The sequence below is a fragment of the Homo sapiens genome, chromosome 16 (genome assembly GCF_000001405.40).
Source record: "Homo sapiens chromosome 16, GRCh38.p14 Primary Assembly".
Lineage (NCBI taxonomy): Eukaryota > Metazoa > Chordata > Mammalia > Primates > Hominidae > Homo > Homo sapiens.
Window position 1 is genome coordinate 33,916,762 of NC_000016.10, and position 25,372 is coordinate 33,942,133.

General features: G+C 51.5%; 2 pseudogenes; both read right to left on the reverse strand.

The window, feature by feature from the left end:
• The window catches only part of ARHGAP23P1 (Rho GTPase activating protein 23 pseudogene 1), a 31,487-nt pseudogene extending 11,331 nt beyond the window's left edge, over window positions 1-20,156 (reverse strand).
• On the reverse strand, window positions 21,578-21,878 carry IGHV3OR16-7 (immunoglobulin heavy variable 3/OR16-7 (pseudogene); annotated as a pseudogene).

Genomic DNA, 25,372 nt, shown 5'->3' on the forward strand with positions numbered 1-25,372 from the left:
TTTAAACAATTGTTTTCGGCCAGGCACGGTGGCTCACGTCTGTCATCCCAGCACGTTGGAAGGCTGAGGTGCATCAGCTGATCAATTGAGGTCAGGAGTTCAAGACCAGCCTGGCCAATGTGGCAAAACCTCATCTTTACTAAAAATATAAAAATTAACTGGGCATGGTGGCAGGTGCCTGTAATCCCAGCTACTTGGGAGTCTGAGACAGGAGAATGGCTTGAACCCGAGAGGCCGAGGTTGCAATGAGCTGAGATCGTACCACTGCACTCCAGCTTGGGTGACAGAGTGAGACTCAGTCTCAAAAAAATAAATAAAATTTAATAAAAATAAAATTAAAAATTGTTAGGCAGGGAGCGGTGGCTCACGCCTGTAATCCCAGCACTTTGGGAGGCCAAGGAGGGTGGATCATCTGAGGTCAGGAATTTGAGACCAGCCTGGCCAACATGGTGAAACCCCGTCTCTACCAAAAATACAAAAATTAGCTGGGCATGATGGTGGGCACCTGTAATCCCAGCTGTTCGGGAGACTGAGGCAGAAGAATCGCTTGAACCCAGGAGGCAGAAGTTGCAGTGAGCCGAGATCGCACCATTGCACTCCAGCCTGGGCGACAAGAGTGAAACTCTGTCTCAAAAAACAAAACAAAACAACAACAAACAAAAATTTTGTTTTCAGTTTCTATACTGCAAAGTGAAAAGGCAAATGGCAGGCCAAAGCAAATATTTGCAAAAACTAACAAAGGGTTAATATGTGTAAAACACAAAGAGCTTTTCTCCCACAAATCAACATAAGAAAAAGATAAACAACCCAACAGAAAAATGGGCACATGGTCTGATCAAGTAATTACAGAGAAAATAGAAACAGCCAGTATGCTAATGAAAAAAGATTTAATCTCCCTAGTAATGAGGGCAATGAAAATAAAAACAATAATGAGATACCATTTCTCTTATCTGATTAGCAAAAGTTTAAAATATTAATAATATTTAATGCTGTCTGGGTGAGGTGGCTCAAGCCTAAAATCCCAGCACTTTGAAAGGCCGAGGAGCGATGATCACTTTAGACCAGGAGTTGAAGACCAGCCTGAGCAACGTAGTGAGACCCTGCCTCTACCAGAAAAAAAATTTTTTTTAATTAGATGGGTATAGTGGCACAAACCTGTAGTCCCAGCTACTCAGGAGGCTGAGATGGGAGGATCACTTGAGCCCAGGAGGTTGAGGCTGCAGTGAGCCATGATTGTACCACTGCATTCCAGTCTGGGCAACAGAGCAAGATCCTGTGTCAAATAATAGTATTTTTATTTTTATTTTATTGTATTATTTATTTATTTATTTATTTATTTATTTTGAGATGGAGTCTTGCTCTGTCACCCAGGCTGAAGTGCAGTGGTGCGATCTCAGCTCACTGCAACCTCTGCCTCCTGGGATCAAGCAATTCTCCTGTCTCAGCCTCCCTAGCAGCTGGGACTACGGGCACCTGCCACCACACCCAGCTACTTTTTGTATTTTTAGTAGAGATGGGGTTTCACCACACTCAGGCTGGTCTTGAACTCCTGACCTCAGGTGATCCACCCGCCTCAGCCTTCCAAAGTGCTGGGATCACAGGCATAAGCCACCATGCCTGGCCTTCAAATAACAATAATAGTTGTAATATCCAATGCTGTTGGGGATGTGGAGAGACAGACTCCTACATTGTTAGTGGGAGTCTAAATCAGGGCCTCTTTCTCAGAGTGCAATTGACACTGGTCTCAGAAAGGTTCACCAGGACTTTGACCCGGCAATTCTACATCTAAGAATCCCCTTAGAGAGCACAGATCCAGGCGTTCAAGGACTTATTCAAGGAAAGCCATTGCAACAGGTTGTGTGATAGCAAACATTTGAAGACAAGCTAAATATCCATCAATAGAGGAGTACTTAAAGAAATTATAGTCTATTCAAACCATGAAATTCTATGTGGTTGATTTAAAAGAAGAATGAGGTAGAGCTCTCTGCACTGACACGAATGAATCTCAGAATTACAACTCTGCTTTTGTTAAAAACAACTCAACCAGCGGTGTGCTGGAGTCCGCTCACACCAGCTCCTGAGAGCGACTGTGTGCCTCTCTTCCCAATTCCATGTTGGTGACATCATGTTGGTGGCTTGAAATAAACCACGGTAGGAGTATTTACACCATGGAAGCTGGAAAACGCTAGGCATTAGGGCTTTTTTCTCCCAGAAACAGATGTTAAACATCTGCCAGCACACCCCTGAACCCACCCAACTCCAAACCCCACGCAGGCACGTGTGTATCTCTGCCATGCATATAAGAGGGCCAGGAGAGAAACACAACAGATTGTGAATAAGCAGTTCAGCAAACAGCCAAAGCCCATCGGAGCCCGACGCCTGGGGTGGAATCCTGGCTCTGCCATTTACAACCTGTGTGACCTTGGGCAAGGCATTAAACCTCTCTGAGCCTTGGTTTCCTCATCTGTAGAGGGAAGACAATAGCACCTTCCTCATGGAGTTGCTGTAGGGAGTTGTGCTTGGCACACACTAATGCTCAGAAAGTGTTAGCCACAACCTCCCGTGAAAGGGAGGAGGAGATTCACAGGGTCCTGTGCTGTTTTTATTCACATCTGCACAATCTATGTTTTTTTTTAATAAGATTTTGTGTTAAAAAAAAAAAAAAAAGCCAGCGTGGTGGCTCATGCCTGTAATCCCAGCATTTTGTGGGGCTGGGGCAGGCAGGAGGATTGCTTGAGCCCAAGAGTGCAACACCAGTCTGAGCAACATAGTGAGAAACTCCCCCCATCTCTGAAAAAAACTTTTAAATTAGCTGGGTGTGGTGGTGTTCACCTGCTGTCTCAGCTACTCAGGAGGCTGAGGTGGGAGGATCGCTAGAGCCCAGTAGCTTGAGGCTGCAATGAGCTGTGATTGCACCACTGCACTCCAGCCTGGGCGACAGAGCAAGACTGTCTCCAAAAAAATAAATAAATAAAAGAGTAAAACCAACAAACCAAATGCAAAAGTAGTGGTCAGGGTGCGGCACAGACTGGTGTCCCCTCCCCACCCCCACTTCCACCTCCTACTCACCAGCAGTGAAAAGAGGCTCGAGCAGCTTTCGGAAGAAGGACTTGAGCAGGCTGTTGATCACATTGAGGTCTTGCCAGCGCTGGGGGAGGAGTCAGATGTCAGGCCACAGGCAAGCCTAGCCCAATGCCCATGCCTCCATGATCATTCACCCCAGAGCCCAATCAAGCCCACCAGGCCCTCCCTGGGACCCACTTAGACTAAGCTCTCTACTCATCAGGATGGTGGCAGCAGAACTGAGTCCCCAGAGAGGTCCTGTGCCCACACTCACACTTGGCCCCAGCCCCTCCCTGCTCCTGCCAGCGCGTGGGCTCCAACACCTCCCCATTCACAGAAAGTCCCAGGCACTGTGGGGACACAGTGAGTGGCAGCTGCTGCCTCCACTGGACACAGTTTAAGCATCTGTGACACAGCAGTCATTCGTGCCAGCTCCTTCCTGTCTCAGGTCCTCTGCATGTGCTGGTTCCCTCAACCAGAACTTTCCTCCCCGCCTCCACACAACTGGCTCCTCATCCCCGCCTAAAAGTCGCTCTTCAAAGAGGCCTTCTCTGACCCTCATAGCTAAAGCAGCCACCTTCACCACTGCCCTGTCACCTGCACCCCAGCCCTGACTTTGTTTCCTTCATGGCGCTTAACCCAATTTGTCATTATTTTCTGCTTTTGTTTCTATGTTCATGCCTGTCTCCCTGCAGGACTGTAAGCTCCAGGAGGAGCCAGGATCCCGTCTGTCTCATTTCCCACTGTGCTCCTATCACCTAGCTAGGACAGTTAACCTGATACTTACATGGCCCTAAATCAGTAGTTCTAACAGAAGGAGGCAATTTTGTCCCCCAAACTCCCACTCCACCCCCAGAGGACATTTGACAATGTCTGGAGCCATTTTGATTTTCCCAACTGGGAGGTGACACTTGCATCTAGTGGATCGAGGCCAGGGATGATTCCAAATTTCCTCCAGTGCACAGGGCAACCCCACACAACAAATAATTGTTCTTCCCAAAATGTCCACTGAGGTTGAGAAACCCTACTCTAAAATAAATGGTTGTTGAGTACAAGAACTAACTGCCGGGTCGTTGTCCCTTCTGTCCTCCAGGGGGCAGCATCACCCCACATTGCAACCAAGTCGGGCACAGCCGCCTCGCTGGGAATGGCTCACAATAACTCAGGCCCAGAAAGCGACCTAATACCCCCAACAAAGAGACACAGCACAGCAGTACACACACTCATTACAATGGATCCACAGCTTAATGCCAGACAATCCCATAAACAATACACTCCGCACAGGCTCACCAGGGGTTAGATTCATCCCCCACTACACTTACTCCCAGCACGACCCACAACAAATGACACAATGATATCCAAGACAAAACAACACACCCAATATACCTTGTATGCCCCCAGCTGGCCCTGGCTTGGACCAGTTGCCTGCCAGCACGGCCCCCTCATCTCACACACACCCAGTGCGGCTCCTGCCCACCCGACTCCGTTACCTCCTGGCCCTCAGGTGTGAGCTCCTCTCATCTCCCAGCTGCCAAACCCAATGCCCTGGCCAGTGCTTCCTGGCTCCTCCAGAGTGAAGTGTCTGCCCTCACCCCAGCCTCACCGGCGGTCCTCTCCTTCTGTCCCACTCAGCGCGTGGCCCCTGCTGTTCTGCGGCCCACCCTTGGTCATCCCATGCCCCAGCTGCAGCAGGACCCATGCCACTCTCTAGTCCACGCTCAATCTAGCGCCTGTTTATGCCCTCGCCCCATGCAAGGGACTTTCCATACCCCAAATCCAATGGAGCCACTCCCTGAGACGGCCCCTCCCTTCCACCTCTCCTCACGCTGCCCTACTCCCTGGTTTCTGCCAGGGGAAGATACCACCAGCCCCAGCTCAAACATGCGGCTCTTCCTCGCCCCTCCTTCCTCCTTCTCATGCAGCCAACTCTTAGGGTTGCTCCCATCCTCCCCCTTCCCCCGGGACCACCAAGTCCTCCCAACACTTAGCACTTCCATAGATCAGTGACTTCTCCCCAGACCCCTGCCCTCCGCATTCGTATCCAATGGACATGAGCAGGAGCATTACTCTTTCTTGAACTTTGTACTCACGATGCCTCCCCAGCTTAAGAAGCATCAAAAGCTCCCTACTGTCCATCAGATCAAGGTCGAAGTCTTCAGTGAAGCCATCAAATGCCCTCTCTGTCCCCCTGGGGCCTCACCCTCCCCACCTTCATGCCCAGGAGGTAGATCCACTCTCTGTCCTAACCCTCAAGCCCTCCCTGGCCCTTGCTGGGGTTTTGGAAAATGCCATCGTCTCACACCCCGAAAGGCTTCCTGTCCACCTACCCCCTCCTATTCATTCCTCCAATACTCAAATCCTCCAGCCACCACCTGCTCCAGCCTGAGCACCCTGTCCTTCCTCATCACAGTGTGGTCCCTGATGAGAGATCATCTTTTTCTCCTGTCCACAATTTCACACACACTTGTCTCAGCTCCTCATTCTCCAAGGACAGGAAGACTTGTGTATTCCATGAGCCTTCACGTGTGTGACTCATGGGACATCACTGCCCATGTTCATGGTTTTCCAAAATATCTTTTTTATCAGAGCCCCTTTGGGCAAATAAAATTGTACGTGAAAACCCAGTACAACAGACAGGGCAAAGCAGGGTTGCTCTAGCAAGGACACGGGGTCCTGACCTGACCCTGGCCTCCCAAGGCCCCTCTGGGGAACCCCAGGACTCTGGGGAACACCCTTTGAGAATCGCCGGCCCTACTGGAAACACTTAAGTGTGATTGCAGATTCCTTCACAGGCTGGTCTCATCTCGCCTGATCAGCCACTTCTCTTTCCATGTTGCAGCCACCCAAATGGCTGGCCATTCTAGAAAACATCATATATTCCCCTTTTTCTAAGCCGGCAGTTTGTAAAACTTGATCTGTAGGCAATATCTAGCCAAGCCTTCTTTTGGATGGCCCTTGAGCTAAGTATGATTTTTATGTTGTTAAAGGATTAGGAAGAGAAGGAGGAGGAAGAGAAGGGGGGAATGCAACAGAGAAAACTACAGCAGAAAATATTTACTCTCTGCCTTCTACAGAGAAAGCTGGTTGACTCCTGGCACACTTTTCGCGCCTACACCATTGCGCAGCCCATTCTGCTGCCTGGAATGCCCTCACCTGGCTTTCATCGGCCTTTGGTGAACTCTACTCATCCTAAACACTCGGACAAAACTGCCGTTTGTGAGCCTCTGCCTCAGAGCTCCCCAGGCCATGACTGCATTTACTTGGTCAGCTTCAGCCTGGGGTGATGCCCATCCCCGGGCTGGCCAGCGGGGGCAGGTCCCATCTTGCCCATCTTGGTGTCCTGGACCAATGCCGGACATGTCATAGGGCACAATGCATGCAACACAATAGACTACAGAACTCTCCAAGCGGAGCACCACCCACACACCATCTCAGCCCCCCTTCCACAGACCCCCCAGCTTCACCCACCTCATCCTGCTGGTTGATGTCACCAGGCCCAGGATTGAGCTGCTCCTGTAGGCTGGACACCACTGCATTGTTGCCAGGCACTCGGTAAAAGCCTGTGGACTCCAGCCCTCGTGCCTCCACAATGTGACAGCATGCAGCCACGATTAAGGGGACATGCTGGGGACACAGGGGAGGGGTGTTAGGGGGGACAGGGGCCAGAGGAGCTGGGGAGGCCAAGAAGGGGACAATGCAAGGCCCAGAGCTGCTGCCAGGAACCCTTGGGGGGAACAAAAGGCCTTTGCTGCCTCCAGTCTGGGAGCTACAAATGACACCAAAGCCTCGCCATGGTCTGAGAAGGAGCCGGGCTCAGCCTCAGCCCGGCTGCTCCCTCCCTGGGAGGCCCAGGGCAGGCCTCCCCTCTCTGGGCTGTTTTCCCAGCTGTGTTTGTACAATGAGGTGGAGAGCTTGTTCCATGTCCCTTGCTGCTCTGACCCTCTGTGCCTTGGTCTCCCCCTGCCGGGCCTGCTCTGGCGTGTGGCAGAGACCCACCTGGTTCTCCGTGGCTGGCTGGCACTCCTCCAGCCTGACCCCAAATGCCCTTGGGGCAGCCTTCTTATTTTTCTTGATGATGTTGATGCCCCAGGGGGTTTTGGGGGCTGCAGCACTGTCATCTGAAGTGGGGGAGACAGAGCCAGAGTGAGCTGGAGTATCCAGGAGGGTCGCACACATTCACTGCCACATTCACACATTTGGATGTATGGGGATTCCATCAGAGAAGAAACCAGATGCCCAGGGCTGATGGGACATTGTATGGCAAGAGAGAAGGCCTGAAGGGGAGGATGCTTACCCCAAAGGAGAGGCCCAGAGCAATGCAAGGACTTCTGTGTGGCTCGTGGGCCAAAACTACAAGGCGGAAGCCATAGAACTTTGTTTCTTTAGAGACAGGGTCTCTGTCGCTCAGGCTGTAGTGCAGTGGTATGATCATAGCTCAATGCAGCCTCAAATTCCTGGGCTCAAGCAATCTTCCCTCCCCAGCCTCCCGAGTGGCTGGGACTATAAGCTCATACCACCACACCTGGCTAATTAAAAAAAATTTTTTTGCCAGGCACAGTGGCTTATGCTTGTAATCCCAGCACTTTGGGAAGCTGAGGCTGGCAGGACCACATGAGGCCAGGAGTTCGAGACCAGCTGGCCAACATGGCAAAACCCTGTCTCTACTAAACATACAAAAATTAGCTGGGCGTGGGCCGGGTGCAGTGGCTTACGCCTGTAATCCCAGCACTATGGGAGGCTGAGGCGGGCGGATCACAAGGTCAGGAGATCGAGACCATCCTGGCTAACACGGTGAAACCCCGTCTCTGCTAAAAATACAAAAAAATTAGCCAGATGTGGTGTCGGGCACCTGTAGTCCCAGCTACTCAGGAGGCTGAGGCAGGAGAACGGTGCGAACCCAGGAGGCAGAGCTTTCAGTGAGCCGAGATCACACCACTGCACTCCAGCCTGGGCAACAGAGCAAGACTCCGTCTCAAAAAAAAAAAAAAAAATTAGCCGGGCGGGGTGGCGCATGCCTGTAATCCCAGTTACTAAGGGGGCTGAGGCACAAGAATCGCTTTAACCCAAGAGGTGGAGGTTGCGATGAGTTGAGATCATGCCATTGCACTCCAGCCTGAGTGACAGAACAAGACTCTGTCTCTAAATAAATAAATAATATATAAAAAAATATTTTGTAGGGATAGGACTTTGCTATGTTACCCAGGCTGGTCTCAAACTCCTGGCCTCAAGCAATCCTCCAGCCTCAGCCTCCCAAAATGATGCTGGGATTATAGGTGTCAGCCACCATGCCTGCTGGCCCAAGGGAACAACTTTCTTTTATTTATTTATTTATTTTATTTTTTTTGAGACAGGGTCTCACTCTGTCACCCAGGCTGAAGTGCAGTGGTGTGGTCTCGGCTCACTGCAACCTCCACCTCCCAGGCTCAAGTGATTCTCGTGTCTCAACCTCCCAAGTAGTTGGGATTACAGGCGCACACCACCACGCCCGGGTACTTTTATTGTATTTTTTTTTTGAGACGGAGTCTTGCTCCGTCACCCAGGCTAGAGTGCAGTGGCGCAATCTTGGCTCAATGCAAGCTCTGCCTCCCAGGTTCATGCCATTCTCCTGCCTCAGCCTCCTGAGTAGCTGGGACTACAGGTGCCTGCCACCACGCCCAGCTAATTTTTTGTGTTTTTTAGTAGAGATGGGGTTTCACCGTGTTAGCCAGGATGGTCTCGATCTCCTGACCTTGTGATCCACCCGCCTCGGCCTCCCAAAGTGCTGGGATTACAGGCGTGAGCCACCGTGCCCGGCCTTTTGTATTTTTAGTAGAGTTGGGGTTTCGCCATGCTGGTCAGGCTGGTCTTGAACTCCTGACCTCAGGTGATCTGCCTGTCTTGGCCTCCCAAAGTGCTGGGATTACAGGTGTGAGCCACCTTGCCCAGCCAGGTAAGAACTTTCTAATAGCCAAAGGTGAGGGAAATGGGAAAGGTTGCTCTTGGAAAGGGTGGGCCTCTCATCCCTGCGGAGACACCAGCAAAGATTAGAGGACCACCCAGCAGGGATGTCAGGGAGGGGAATCAGGCTCCAGGCCCTTCCACCCCAAGACCCTGAGAGCCCCCAGACCCTCACAGGCATGCACATGCAGACAGACATACCGGTAACCCTGGCACACAGTCAGGCACACACGAGCAGACACAGCCCAACACACACACACATGCTCTCCCCTCTCCATGCCCTCTTCCCCAACACACCACCCTGTCTCAGTGGCCACCTTCCTACCTTTGCTCCCTGCGGGCAGGTCCTGAGTCCTGAGGCCACGTGCCGCACTCTGCTTGAGGAACTCAGACTTGAGGCCCCCCAGGCCGCGAGAGCCTTTGGGGGAGGAATCAGCTTTGGGCCCAGAGCTATGGCTGTGTAGGAAAAAGGGGGAGAGGAGAGGTCTTCACTTGGGGTGGCCAAGCAGGCCACCCACCCTGGCCTCCTGCCCCTCGGGACATCCCCTCCACCCTGAGGCAATGCCTCCATGCCAAACTGCAGCCTGGAGACCCTGGATACCCTGGATACCCCTTTCCCCAGCAGAGGGCAGCCCTGGAGGTGGTCCAGGAAGACATCCTCTGCCTTCAGCCCCCTACCACCCCCACAGAGGAGACTGCTCCATGAGGGCTAGGCCTCACCTCACTTTGCGATAATCATTAAGCTTCTTGCTGATCAGAGCTTGGTTGGCACAGCCGGGGTCCTGAAGCAGGAGAGGAGAGAGCGGATCATGTCAGTGCCCACAGCCAGCCCACCCCTGGGTTCATCCCTAGCCCTGCTTCCCCTCTTGTCCACCTGCCAGGTGGACAGCCCAGACCCTGGAGTGAGAAAGACCAGGCCTGGACTCCCCAGCACCCTCTCACCAGCTGAGGCCTTGGGGAAGCCTCTTAGGCTCTCTGAGCCTCAGTCTCCTCGGTAATAAACATGGGGGGCTAAAAGGGAAGGCTCGGGGCTGGGTGCAGAATCATGCAGCACTCGCCACTTTCCTGGCAGATGCTGAGCAGGCATGGAGGAGGTGCCCCAGGAGGGACTGCTACTGCCATAGTGATGTGACTTGGAACCCCCCTGACTAAGCCTTGTTGGAGACAGCCAAGCCAGGCCCCCAGAGGAGGAGGCCCAAATTCCAGGTGCCTTCCTCCCTGCAGTGGGGAAAGCTGTTCCCGGGAGAGCAGAGCCTGGTCAGCGAGAGGATGTGTCCTCAGCAAGAGGCCATGCACTAGCGCCCCCTCCCACGGCCAGAGCAGGCCCAGGCCCACTGCCCTCTTGGCAGAGACCCCAGGCCCGGGATGCCCACATGACTTTGTGTGGGTGTCTCAAGGCACTTCTGTGCAGGCTCCTGGCCAAAGAAGTAAACAGGGAGGAATCCCTACCTAGGCCCCTGGAGTGTAGCTACGGCTGACCGCAATGGGCGCCATTAAAAAAAATTCTTCGGCTGGGCGCAGTGGCTCACACCTGTAATCCCAGCACTTTGGGAGGCTGAGGTGGGAGGATCATGAGGTCAGGAGATCAAGACCATCCTGGCTAACACAGTGAAACCCCGTCTCTATTAAAAAAAAATTAGCCAGGCATGGTGGCATGTGCCTATAGTCTCAGCTACTCAGGAGGCTAAGGCAGGAGAATCACTTGAACCTGGGAGGCGGAGGTTGCAGTGAGCTGAGATTGCGCCACTGCACTCCAGCCTGGGCAGCAGAGCGAGACTCTGTCTCAAAAAAAAAAAAAAATTCTCCCAAAGTCCCTGCCGAGGCCCTTGGCTCCAACCCTGCCCACCTGTGGCCAAAGGCCAAGCCTCTCAGCCTCCTCACAAGGTCAATGTGTTCATCCTCCTGCAGTCAGGCCAGCCCAGTGCAGTTCTGGTGTGGGGACACTCATGCCCTAACACACTCCATAGGAGGCCCCTGCCTTCCTCGCCTGCTGAGAAAAGCTGAGACTGGCCTGGAGCTGACCACTCCACATCAGAGCCTGCTCATGGCGATCCTAACACAGTCACAATAATCCCTGTCATCATTAGGGTCAGGATGGTGACTGCTGGTCCCCGCACCCGAGGACGCCAGGTCCTCCATGAGCCCTGCCCTTGCACCCTTGTCACCCCGAAACCTAGGGGGACACAATCACGAGGTGCACTCCTGTCAGCCCCCCTTTCTAGCAGAGGGAAGTGAGGCTCAGAGCGGACATCCCAGGTCCACAGCCGGTGAGAGGCCACCCCGCCCGCCCTCTGTGGCCGCCGGGCTGGCCGGGCCCTCACCTCGCCCTCGGCCCTGCTGTTCTCCCAGATCGCTCTGATCCCCCCAGCATGTCATCCCGGTCCTCAGCCTGAAAGAGATATTCACAGAAGTCAGCGGTGGTCAGCCGGAACACGTGCCTCCTCTTGGTCTCGCTGTAGATGTCCACGAGGCAGGAGCCGATGCAGACGGGCGCCGCCTTGTCCTCACCTGCGCCGGCCCCCACAGCCCCCGCCGCCGCCGGCCCGGGCTCCCGCTGCTCCTTGCTCAGCGAGAGCGAGCGCGCCAGCAGCGCGGCGTACACCCGCTTCCACTGGCGCAGGCCGCTGCCCGCTTTCTGCAGGGAGACACGGGGTTGGGGGAAACAGGAGTGGTGAGAGGTCAGTTCTGCCCACTGCTCTCACAGTAGCAGACAGAGGACAGCCGGGGGATGGACCCCACGCTGCCTACCAGGAGCCGCCTGCTCCACCCGGCTAGACCTGGGCAGCCTCCTGCCCACAGCCCACCAATGCTTTCTCAGTCCCTCGCCTGCCTAGACACCCCTACCCATCACCCTAAAGCCCGCCAGCAGACCCCAACCCTCTCCCCCTCTAAACACCAGCATCAACACTCACCGAGCGGTGGCAATGCTCAGACACCCAGCATGGCCCTCCGTACATGAAATCCTCGGGAAGCCATTCCCAGCCCACGCCCCTCCCCAGGCTGCCCCTCACCCCAGCAAACCTGCTCAGAAGCTGTCCGCACTCTTAGAGAGTCGTTCTCCCCACTTTCCTGCCGCCCACCCAAGACTCCACTTGCCCAGAAGCTCCTCTCAGGGACACCCAGAACCGCCATGTGGCCAAAGCCAATGGCTGCTTCTCCCCAACTTGCCTTAACCCCTTGGCGGCATCTGACACAGCCAGCCCCTCCTTCCCTCTCCAGACCCCATCTCGGCACCTGAGACCCCACGTTCCCGGCTTTCTTCCTAATGCCACTGGCTCCTTCCTAGTCTTCTCTGCTTCCCCTCCCCCACCCTCTACACCTGTAGTTAAACAGCCAGGAGACTCGTCACCACGGGACATTTGTGTGGAGGGAGCTGGAGGGTGTGCTATGGCATCTGAGGGATGCGGCTAAACATTGCGCAATGCACAGGACAGCCTCCCCCAACAAGGAATTATCTGGCTCAAAATGTCAGCAGAGCAGAGGGTAACAGACCCCGCCCTAAAGGAGGCGGAGCTCCAGAACTTCGCCCTGACTCTCCCCTCCTCTCCTCTCCCTGCACACCTCCCTCAAGGATGTCACCTGTGCCATGCCTTTAAACCAGGTCCACCTGCTGATGGCCATTCCCGAGCCCAGCATCTCCCCCAGCCACAGCCCGGCACCCCCACCCTGCTCAGTGTCTTCATTTGCAGGTCCCATGGGCACTTTGCACAATACTTGCCAGGCCATGTGATTTCTTACCATCAAACCTCTTCTCCACTCTCTACCCCCATCTTTTCCAGCTCAGTCAATCCATCCAGTTGTCCAGAAACCTGGGAGCTGCCCTTGACTCCTCCCTTTTCCTCGCCCTTGACATCCCATCCATCAGGAAGTCACAACTGTTCTGCCTCCAAAACATCCCCTGTCTCTGTCTTTCCTGCCAGAGGAAAGACATCTTTCCATGCCATCAACGCCTCTTGCTTGGAGGATGCACAGACCTTCCCAGTCTCTACTCTTGCTCCTGCATCCATTCTCCAGCAGCAGCTGCAGCGATCATGTTAGAATGAAAAGGAGATCACATCTCTCCCATGCTCAGCATCCTCTCAAGAGATCCCATCGCCCTCAGAATCAAATCTAAAGTCTCCTGTGGTCTGTACCTGCCTTTCTCCAAATTCATCTTCACACCTTTCTCACTATGTCAAGCCAGGGGGCCCTTGCAGGTGAGCGAGCCAAGCCTTTCTTTTCTCAGGGCCTCTCCGCTTGCTGTTCCTTCTGCCTAAGCCCCCCTCCCTCACTTCTATATGTGGCTGCTTCCTTCTTCCCCTTCAGATCTGAACTCCAGCATCACCAATGTCACCTCCTCAGCGAGGCCTTCTCTGGCCATATTTTTCCCTCAATGCAGCTCCCGCTTCTGATCAGCTTGATCCTTTCCAAGAACTTACTGCAGCCTCAGGCTGTCCTGGGGACAGGGAGCTTGTCCGTCCTCTCATTTCCATATCCCAGGGCCTACAGCAGCATGCAAGCGCTCATCAATATTTGCTGAATAAATGAATTAATGATCCTTGGAGCACCCTGAGGGCAGGAGCTCCATCTCCCATCAGACCAAGAGCTCCTCTCTGCTGGCTGGTGGCTCCACATCCAGCACAGGCCTCAGCTCTCAGAACAAACCAGACAAAGAGGTCCCGTGGCTGGCAGATGGGCACAGCCCACATCTGGCCTCCCATCATGTGGATCCTGAGCTGTGAGCCCTGCTCATCACAGAACTGCTGGAGGGGGACAGGGACATTCAGAGTAGGAGACAGCAGAGCCCTCCAGGGAGAATTTTAATGTGACAGTGAGGTGGTGACAAGGGCACCTCTCTGAGGCTAAACCAGCGGCATGACCTAGGACAAGTCAACCGCACTCCCAGGCCTCAGTGTCTCCGGCTGGTAAATGAGTGAGGGAGTTGGTCACCAAGGCTGCATGCAGCTCCCATGCTGGGGCTGAGGCTGAGGGGACAAGTCACTGTCCCTTTCCCTCCTCTGCCTGACAGTCCATGTCTCTGAAAGAGGCTGGGGCTGGGAGGGAGCACAGAGAGGGTGCCCACGGCCTGGGTGGACCAAGGGCCTGAGGCTGACTTGAAGACTCTCCTCTAACGTCCAGGCCACAGCACCAAAGGAACAAGTGACATCGGGTTTTGGCCAGCAAGGGAGTGGAGGCCTGGTCCTCCAGAACTGGCCAGTGAGCAGGAAGGGGACAGCTCCTGTCCCTGAACTGGGCTCAGGGCCCCCAGGAGCTGAGGGTCAGGCTCCCCAGCAGGGGGAGCCAGCCACCCTCACAAGGACCCTTCATGTGGCTCACACGTTAGACTGGAAGGGCTGGCCCACTTGCGGCTCTCCTCGCACAGTGCACGTGGCTGGTCCCTCCTTGCCTCATGGCTCCCACCCCACGGGTCGCTGCCAACTTGCTGGCTCTTTTTGGTCTCTGTTGGCCTCCCCGGCCCCCCCACTTCTCTCAAGGCTCAGCCAGGTCTCTTGCCTTCTTCCTTCAAGCCCCTGCACAGAGGCATATGTAACTCGTGGGTGCTGACAGACAAAGGCCGTCCCCAGGTGGGCCTCCCTCTAGTAATACGCCCTCAGAGCCTCTGTCCCCAGGACATCTCCACTGGGGTCTGTCCCAGGGCCCTCAGACTCACATAGCCCAAGTGGAGCCACTTGGCTTCCTCTCCCCAAACCTGCTCCTCCAGTGTGCCATGGCCCAGGGAGGGTCCCACCACCCACCACCCTCCCTCAGCCCAAGCCAGGAATCCAGGAACCTTATCGCCTCCTCCTCCTTCCATACCTCCCAGCAGCCGGCAAGCCCTGGCCGTCCTTCCCATGGAATCTCTCTCTAAAGTGTCCGCTCCACCCAGCCCCACACCACTGCCTTGGGTCGGGGCCCCCACCCTCACTCACCTGGACAAGAGCAATGGGATTGGCTCCTCCTGTCACAGACATAACCCCAGTCTCCTGCCAGCCCCAGCCCACATTTAAAACCCTGGACAGAGCCGGGCACGGTGGCTCACGCCTGTAATCCAAGCGCTTTGGGAGGCCAAGGCAGGCAGATCACTTGAGGTCAGGAGTTCGAGACCAGCCTGGCCAACATAGTGAAACCCAGTCTCTACTAAAACTACAAAAATTAGCTGGGTGTGGTAGCAGGCGCCTGTAGTCCTAGCTACCCAGGAGGCTGAGGCTCGAGAATTGCTTGAACCCGGGGGGCGGAGGTTGCAGTGAGCTGAGATCATACCACTGCACTCCAGCCTGGGCAACAGAGTGAAACTCCATCTCAAAAATAGATAAAATAAAATAAAATAAAATAAAATAAAATAAAATAAAATAAAATAAAATAAAATAAAATAAAATAAAAAAATAAAATAAAATAAAATAATAAAACCCTGGACAGGCTCTTTCTGGGTATGAAGGCCCCACACTCTGGGCAGGCACCCAATTACCCAGCTCATCTTCCACCTCTCGCCCTGGCTCCCAGCACACCTCTCCCCACCTTTCCCCAGGACCCTCTAAGGAGACATCCTCCCTGTCAGGCCCCTCCACTGTCTCCCAGTTTTGTGGCTTCTCATCCTTTCGTGTCTCAGCCTCTGGATACCTCCCTACCCACGCCCACCTGCCCCTGCACCCGGGCGTCACGGCAGTCTGTGCACTTGGAACCATGATGCCACATGCGTTCTCTCTGCTCAACAGGAGCAACAGGAGCCCCAGGAGGGCAGGGCTGCCCTGGCTCCCTCACCACTAACTCCCCAGAACCTCCACAGAGGCTCCCGAGCAGGGAGGCCTTAGTCATTCTCCACGGAGGCGCATCAGTCCCGCCTCAACTTCACCCTCACTTAATCCACAGCAGCCCTTGGGGTAGGATAACATTGTTCCCATCGTACAGATCAGAAAGTGAGGCTCGGGGAAGGTAAGTGGGGTGCCCAAAGCCATGTGCTTGATATGTGGCTGGATAGGAACTCGAAGTCTGTCTGCTTCAAAGCTTATGTTCTTTCCAGGGACCCCCAAGACCCCAGAAGGCAGGGCAAAAAATTCAAATAGCAGTAAGTGGGCTGGGCACAGTGGCTCACGCCTGTAATCCCAGCACTTTGGGAGGCCAAGGCAGACAGATCATTTGAGGTCAGGAGTTTGAGACCAGCCTGAACAACATGGTGAAACTCCGTCTCTACTAAAAAAATACAAAAAAAAAATTTAATTGGGTTTGGTGGTGAGTGCCTGTAGTCCCATCTACCCAGGAGGCTGAGGCTGGAGAATTGCTTGAACCCAGGAGGTAGAGGTTGTAGTGAGCTGAGATCGCGCCACTGCCCTCCAGCCTGGGCAACAGAGTGAGACTCCATCTCAAAAAAAGAAAACAAATAGCAGTAAGCAGAAGTACAGCAGTTTCAAGTGCTGGGCACTGGGTAAACCCTTTACTTAGATCATCTCATTTAATCCTTAGCAATAGGCTTATGAGCTAGGGATTACTGTTAGCTCCATTTACAGACGAGGACACTGAGTCATGGCCAGGTGAGTCACCCAGGCTCTCAGAGCAATGGGTGATGTAGTCAAGAGTCAAACCCGGGTTCATCCTAATTGCCGGGAGGGAAGGCAGTGGTCTCTCCTCCCACTTCTCCAGCCCACAGCGCAGCCTGGGGCCAGGATTTGCACCCCATGGATCCAGGGGCTCTGCCCTTCTCCTCTCAGAGTCCTGCTGGTTCCCTCCCAGGCCCTCCCCAAGTACTACCCGAAGCCCCCTTTGCCTCTCACCTGGATCTCCATGGTGGCTCTAACTGGTCTTCTTGCCTCCAGCGTGGCCCCTCCCTAACTCACTCCCAGGGAGCCAAATGAATATTTTAAAGCTGTAACTCCCTTGGCAAGAGCCCCCGAGAGCTTTTGGTTGCCCTTAGGATGAACACTAAGCCCTTTGCTGGCTTGCCTGCATCTTCTTGGGCCTTAACTCTCCTACGGAAATCACCCCGGCCTTGTTCCTTGTTTTCCATGAGCCCCAGCGGCCATCTTCAGGATGGCCTGTCAAGCCAGGGCCACTGTGGGATGGTTTTGCCAGAATTCCAAGCACGACTCGATCAGATCCATCCCACAGCAAAATCCACCTCTCTTGTTAACTTCTTTTACATAAGTTCTTTAAATCCCCCTGCCAGGAAGTTCTTCCTAGCATCTATCCTCCATCCTTCATGCAACAACCTACACTGGTTCTCTCTGGCTCCAGAGGCTGTCAGGGTAGGCCTAGGAGAGGCTGGAGGGTTCTGCTGGAGCCAGCTTCCACCTCATTCCTCCACCCATCTTACCTTCCCCTTCTTGGTGAGAATCTGCTTATAATACAACCAGCCTTCTCTCCTGATATTGCTGAAGGTCGCATCTGAGAGGTCAGAGGTTGAGTGTCGCTTAGAAGGAGCGTCAGCGTCTTCAGAGGTGCCCCAGCTATCCAAGGACTGCAGGGAGACAACAGAGGACAATTTAGGGTGGCTCCCACAATGCCAGCATCTCAGGAACCCCATGGACCACTTGTGGCCGCACAGTCCTGATATATGTCTGTGCTACACCCCGATGTGCCATGCGACCTCATGGGCATTGCTTGTCCTCTCTGGACCACTTGTGTTGAGGTCATGAGACCTACATAAAGGAGAAGCCAGAAAGGAGGAAAGGCTATGACCTGTCAGCAGACCACACGCCTCACCACGCTAGAGGAGCCAATTCGGAGCCTCCCGTAACTATATAGACTTAGAAGAATTAAGGAAATGGAGGAAGTGATCGTGTCAACGAGGAGTTAAATAAACAGGGGAAGTGGGAACATCAACAAAGGCTGAGGGAGTGGAGCAGGTAGTCATGTCCACGAGGCGTTAAACAGAGGAAGTGACAGTGTCAACAGGACTCCACCCAGAGGGCGCAAGTCAAGGGAGAGTTAAGTAAGCAGAAGAAGTGATAAGAAATAAGCTAGGTGCCAATATCACCGGGGTGTTCAACCAACCAATGAGACAGAGCGCTTGACATCAAGATGGCTTTTCCAGTCCATCTAGAATCAAAAACAGCCAGGGGAAGGTGGGGTGGGCACGGTGGCTCATGCCTGTAATCCCAGCACTTTGGGAGGCTGAGACAGGCAGATCACTTGAGGTCAGGAGTTCAAGATCAGCCTGGCCAACATGGTGAAACCCCATCTCTACTAAAAACACAAAAATTAGTCAGGTGTGGTGGCGCATGCCTATAATCCCAGCTACTTGGGAGGCTGAGGCATGAGAATTGGTTGAACCCAGGAGATGGAGGTTGCAGTGAGCTGAGATCATGCCACTGCACTCCAGCCTGGGCAATAGAGTGAGACTCCATCTCAAAAAAAAAAAGAAAAATCGTGCATGAAAAATATATATGTGATTTTAAAAACAACAATATGTCCAGGTGTGGTGGCTTATGCCTGTAATCCCAGCATTTTGGGGGGCCGAAGCAAGAAGATCACTTGAGGCCAGGTGCGGTGGCTCAGGCCTGTAATCCCAGCACTTTGGGAGGCCGAGGTGGGTGGATCACCTGAGGTCAGGAGTTCATGACCAGTCTGGCCAACATGGTGAAACCCAGTCTCTATTAAAAATACAAAAATTACCCAGGTGTGGTGGCACACGCCTGTAATCCCAGCTGCTCGGGAGGCTGAGGCAGGACAATAGCTTGAACCCAGGAGGTGGACGTTGCAGTGAGCCAAGATCATGCCACTGCACTCCAGACTGGGCAATAGAGTGAGACTCTGTCTCAAAACAAACAAACAGCCAGGGCTATCACAGGCCTGATCCTGCCTCCCCAGGTCCTGAGGCTGGGAACTCCACCTGTCCACCAATCTCAACCCTGTGTCCAGGCCACACCTTTCCAGTGTCCACCCCGACCCCATCCCATGAAGACAAGATGCGATGCAAATACTGACTCAGGGTAGTGAAGGAAACATATGAAGCCCCAAATATAAGCTCGGGGAGCTTCTATTCTAGCTGGGGAGCCAGGCAGGGAGGAAGGGAAACACCAATTGTGCATGAGGCGTGCTGAGGAGGAAAACAGAGTAGCGAAGGGAGGCATGAAATGTCAGGAGTGGAGACTGGAATTTCAGGGAAGACCTAAAAGGCTGCGAAGACAGTGGAGAAGTGAGTCGTGTGGCTATGGGGGATGGGTCTGGAAAGAGGCAGTCCAGACAGGGGCCCCTGGGTGGGGCTGCATGGTGTCATTCAGGGATGTCGGGGCCCACAGCAGAGGGCCGGTCCCGCGGTGGACACAAGGGTGAGGGGTGCAGGGAGGAGGGGGAAGGCGGGAGCTGGAGCAGGAACCCCCATGCCGAGGCTGTGGCCCCACCTCCCTGACACCCTCTCTCCCCACACCCTCACTCCTGCGCACGCACACACACTTGCAGCCCACCCTGTCTGTGAAGAAGCTCCGGAGCAACGGCAGGCTGGGTATGCGGTTTGGCAGGTGCCTGGGAAGCAAGGGTGGAGGGTGAGGGATGTGGGCAGCAAAGCTGGGACCTCACTATCTCGTCACCCACCAAACCCCAAGCCCAGAAGCCTTCCAGCGGGGGAGACACACTGTCCCATGCATAGAGGACCCCCAGGGCCAAAAGCCCTGCCCCAGAGCAGCTGGCCAGGGTGGCTGTGGCCACCCCACCCCATGTCCAGACAGGGCCTCACCGCAGAACCTGGCCCTCGTCACGGAAGGTGTTGAGTCCATCATCGCAGGACTTGGAGCGCTCCGTGCTGATGGCCAGCAGGTAGGAGGAGCGGCGGCCAGCCTTGATGCTGCCTGCAAAGCCGCCCACATCGGGCCTCAGGGTCAGCGGGGCAGCAGGTCAGGGGCTTCCCAGAGCCCTCCCTTCTAGGCAGGGGCAGGAGGTGACTCTCCCAAGGTGCCCCAGGAGAAGCAGAAACCAGAGGAAGAGGCCAGACATCCAGCAGCAGACCTAACAGAGACCCCTGGGACTGGGCAGCGAGGGAAAGGGTGGGGCTGGGGGTGTGGGGAGCGCTCACTGCAGTCCCGCGAGTAATGCCATCCGAGGGTGAAGGTGAAGGTCGGGGAAGATGGGCTGGTGCCCAGGACAGCGGCTGAGTTCATGGCACTGGAGACCACAGCAAAGGCAGGGACATGCTTGGCTTGGAGGTCAGTGCTGGGGCTGGTGGGCTCATCTATGCATGTGGAAGGAGAAAGGTGTGAAGGCGGCAGACAGCGGAACCTGCTTGCCTCCACCCTAGCCTTGCCAGCCCCCGTGCCACTCACCTCCAGGCTCAGACACATCCCAAAGGGTCCTGCTGGCAACATGCCCACTGTCAAGCGTGACTGGCCCACTGTCCAGACTGTGGCCATGGAATCCTTACCCTCAGGAGTGGGGCTGAGACACCCTCCTTAGACCGGACTCCTGAGGACAGAGCCAATATTCCCCCATCAGACTGGGAGCCTCCTGAGGGCAGGGACAGTGTCTCCCCCATCAGACTGAGGGCACTCAGAGAGAATGAATTATGTCTCCCCTCTCAGACCAAGAGCCTCCTGAGGGCAGGGACAGCGTCTTCCCCATCAGACTGAGAGCTTCCTAAGGGCAAAAGCTCCCCCATCAGCTGGGGCTCCTCAAGGGCAGAGATGACATCTCCCCCTCAAACAGAGTGTGCTCTGGAAGAAGAAACTGCCTCTCCCGGCCACAGCCTAGAGCCTTTCATCAGGGCTCAGTGGTGTGGATGGGGCCCTTGAGACAATCCAGTGAGATCTGGAAGTGAAGAAAAAGATTATAATCTGGGATAAATATAAAAAATTACAATAAAAAATTTATTGCAAATTTACAAATTATGGTTGTTTATATGTACATGGTAAAGGGCAATGTTATGGTTTGTGAATACAATATGAAATAACTAAGATAATTAAGAAATAACTGATGTAATTATCATTCATTGTTTCAAATTTTTATCTTTTATTGTGACAACATTTAACATTTACTCTTAGCTCTTTAAAATGACCAATGTACTATTTTAAATGAACCAATAGAAACCAATTTATGTAAACAATTGAAAATCTGGGAAATCAATTATGAATTACTGTAATAATTTAATAATTAAAAGTTAATAATGTAGTTAATTAAGTTTGATTTTTTTCAAACTTTTTTTATCATTTCATTGTAATGTTTAATACAAATGCCTACATATATACGCATTGTTCTGTGTATTTATACATCTTTTTATGGGTATAAATTTTTGTCCCTATAGCTATGTAGTTGCTGATGTCAACAAATGTTAATAAAACTCTGGAAGAATCAGTGCAAACAATTAGGAATGTTTATTTCTTGAAAGTATATACTTAAAAATATAATAATATGTAGAATGTTAATAATTACTAAAATTTAAATATTAATGATAAAATTCATAATAAATATAAGTAACAAAATATCACAGCCTAGAAGACTCCAGAGTCCTGCGAAGATAAACGTGACTTTTCCAGCTGAGGAGAAAGGAAACCTCTCCCGGCACCAGCTCCTGGGACCTGTCCCGTCCTCAGTGGGTCCCGAGCGCCCCCTGGTTGCCCCGCGCGCCCCTGCAGGGAGGTTTCTGTCTGGGCTCACACCGACCTCCCCTCACTGTGTCTGTGGTACAGTAATACACGGCCGTGTCCTCGGTTTTCAGGCTGTTCATTTGCAGATACAGCGTGTTTTTTGAATCAACTCTTGAGATGGTGAATCTGCCTTTCACAGGTGCAGCGTAGTCTGTTGTCCCACCATTAGCTTTGCTTTTAATACGGCCAACCCACTCCAGCCCCTTCCCTGGAGCCTGGCGGACCCAGCTCATCCAGGCGTTACTGCAAGTGAATCCAGAGGCTGCACAGGAGAGTCTAAGGGACCCCCCAGGCTGTACCAAGGCCTCCGGCAGACTCCACCAGCTGCACCTCACACTGGACACCTGCAAACACAGAGACACTAAGGTCAGAAACTGCCACACATATCCACTGTTTCTCTCACTCATGTCCACTCACACTCAATCTCTCTAGCTCTCCATAAGTCACCTTTAAAAATAGCAGCAAGGAAAACTCAGCTCAGCACAAACTCCATGGTGATTCCTGTCTGTTCAGTCCTGATCACTGAATGAAAATACTTGGGAATCCCAAGGCTGGGGCTCCTCTCCCAGAGCTGCAGGGTCAGGACTGGGCTGGTTTTCATCAGGAGACGGAGGGCCCTATTTTTATGTCACCTACTATATAGCAAGCTCTGGGGTGGGACGCCTGAGCAGAGGGCAGTGCCCAGATAAGGTAATGATGCCCTGCAAGAATCTGATGACAATGATGGTGTTTGGAAAACTTGCTGTCTTATTAGGAAATTGTGCTGTGATAAACACTTTGCACTAATCACTCTCTTACATTTTTACATATTTGTGTAAATCATATTTTTAGAGGTCAATGGTTTCTCTATTTACAGATGGTGAAGTAAACCCATACGTGGAGGGGCTTTGTATGTATCTAAGAGCTCATACCTGAGGTTAGTGAGCCCCAGTATCTGGGCCTGTGCTCCTCATCCACTGGCCCTATATTACTCCCTAACCCAACTCCAGGACAGAGCTGGGCATGCCTAGTGTGGCTTGTGAAACCCACTTTCTGTATTGAGAACATGTGTAATTTTGCTGCATTCTAGCATTCACCTAAAAATATGGTGAGAACTAGGGTTCACGAAGATAAATTATTAGGTGTTTCTGAAATTTAGTATTTTTTCTATCTTTATATCACTTACTTCTTGTGCAAGTTTTCATTTGTTTGCTGGTAATAAATTTTATAAATTTCAGTTTACTGATAATAAACTTCACATATTTAAAGTGTACAATTGATAAACCTGATGTAACCATCCTAGTTATCAAGGTGAACCAGAAAATTCTCAAAATTTCCCTCTCATTCTTCCATATTCCTCCTCCTTTCCTCTTCCCTTCTTCTACCATTTCCCCAAATGGTAAATTCTGATCTTCTTTATATTGCTGTAGATTCAATTTAATTTATCAGAATTTATTAAAATGGAATAACATAGTACATATTCTTGTTTGCTTTATTTTCCTGAACATCAATACTTAGATATTTTACCTTGTTGTTATATTGCTTAAGTTCAGTTTTTATTTTCCAGAATTTATATAAATGAAATTATATGGTAAATCTTCTCATTTGTCTGGTTTATTTTACTCAGCAAAAATACTTAGATATTTTACCTTCTTGTTGCATGTATCAGACAATTATTTATTATAAATGTTGTGTAGTATTCCATTGAACAAATTTACCATAATTTGATTTTCTGTTAAGCAGCTTAACAATGTTCAAATTATTTTATTACTCTGGTAGTACTAAAAATCTACTACTCAACTTGAAAATGTACATAAATGAGGAATATATTTTCTTTTTTTCTTACAACTACATCAACAATAACAGATAAACAGTCAAGATGAAATTTTGCAAATTTCTGAATGCTTAGGATAACTGAAGTTAAAAAAAAATCTTAAATTTAACAAGAAGCAAGTTCTTGTAGAGAGTAACAAAGCCAGCATATGAGATTACCTAAGGCAGAGTCTGGCGTATGAAATATAGGCTGTTAAAGATAAAAATACAAATATATATGGGATTGCTTGAAATTGAATATGGTTAGCTTGTTGTAGTTTGAAATTCTAAGGGACCACATACTGAAGAGCTTTTCTATCCTCTTGAATCCCTTTCCCCAAAAAAGGGGCAGTCACAAAATCTTCCTTTCCCAAAGTGTCTGTCTGGGAGAGAACAAGAGCCCCCATTTTTGAAAGGCATTCAGACTCGACTCCCTTATATCCACTACAGAACTAAAAATTACTTTGCAGGGGAACCACCAAAACCAGTACCCTAGGGGCACTGGTGCAACTCCTCAGGAATTGAGATGGGAACAGAGGTCACTGCCACGAAGTTCTGTTGAGACACAACTCTCTTTCTTATGGAATCAGAGCTTTAGTCTGCAGGGCAGGGCAGCAGATCTGGGAGGTGATGACACTGATGGGGAACACTGGAGCTGTGGGAGGGAACACCTGGGGGAAACAGGGGGGCTGTACCCCAGTGGAAGGGACAGGAACACACAGATGAGCATCTCATCTGGAGGAGGGTCAGGAACACTCAGAAGGTCACACCCAGACTTACGGGCACAATGCCTTTCTAGGAATATGGACCGAGATGAGGTCAGAGACTCTTCCTTCAGTGTAAGGGCTTCCACTAATTTATCAATTGTCAGTTACATATAACGGAGGAATGCACCTGTGGGAGCTGAAAGAGATTCTCTGGAGGATGGAACAAGGAGAAGAGACACAGTCACGCAGCAAAGAAGAACAAGATATCACTGGAGCATCTGTAGTCTCTGGTGGACATAGAAGAACAGACTTCAATTAGTTGTTGAAACCTTTATATCAGTCTTTACTAATTTATATGCTAAAATAGTTGGCCTCATCAATGGAGTCTTATTATCCCCATCAGGGATGAGTGTCCATGTGGGCACGTGGTGCAGTTCTAGTCATGGGGGCAGGGGAGGTGGTCTGTTCAGGTGTTCCTGGTCCTTCAGAGGAGAATTGCAGAACTGTCTCTGCCCCTTTTCCAGCCAATATATAAAATATGTATGTGACCATGGGAATATTGTCACCATGTAACTGCATGATGGGAGTCACCTGAGGGGTGAAGCTGACTTTCTGGATGCATCAGTGTGGAAAATTGAGAAAAGAAACTTCTTGGGCACATGAGCTGTCAAATTATTCAATCCTGGAGCCATTCACTTCCAGAGGCTTCCTGTTTCATCAGGTTGTGATTTTCCTCATTGTGTAGTCAGCCTAGGTTGTCTTTCTTCACTCTCTGTTAAAATAGTCACACATAATATCTAGAAGCATTAAGATTAATAAGTAACTAATTTGAAAATTAGAACAAGTCCCAAGTGAAGTCAAAGTTACTGTGTGGTTGACAGGAAACATGGCTGGATACTAAGAGTGTGTTCACATCTGTTTTATGTAGATTAGCAACATATTTTGTATATCCCTTAAGTAATACTTTCATTGAGACTCCTGATTTAACACTATTTCCTGATGAATAACACCTAAATCATAAAGGTGGAGGTTATTACCTAATAATTCATATTACTGGTACAAACTTTCACCTAGGGTATATTCCTATACCTGATGTAAAATCAGCCCAGAATGGAGAAGTTAATTCTCTTATTAGAGCTTGTCAATTAACTAAAAACCAGGATTAAATACAGATGTTCTACATTAGTGTGTAATTTTGAAATGTGTTGCAAGCAGAGGAGGTTCTTATGTCTCCTAGAAGCCCCATCAAAATGGACAAAAAAGACACTTTTAAATAAATTCCTACATTATAGAGACCTGACATATGAATTTGAAACCAAATGCCAACAA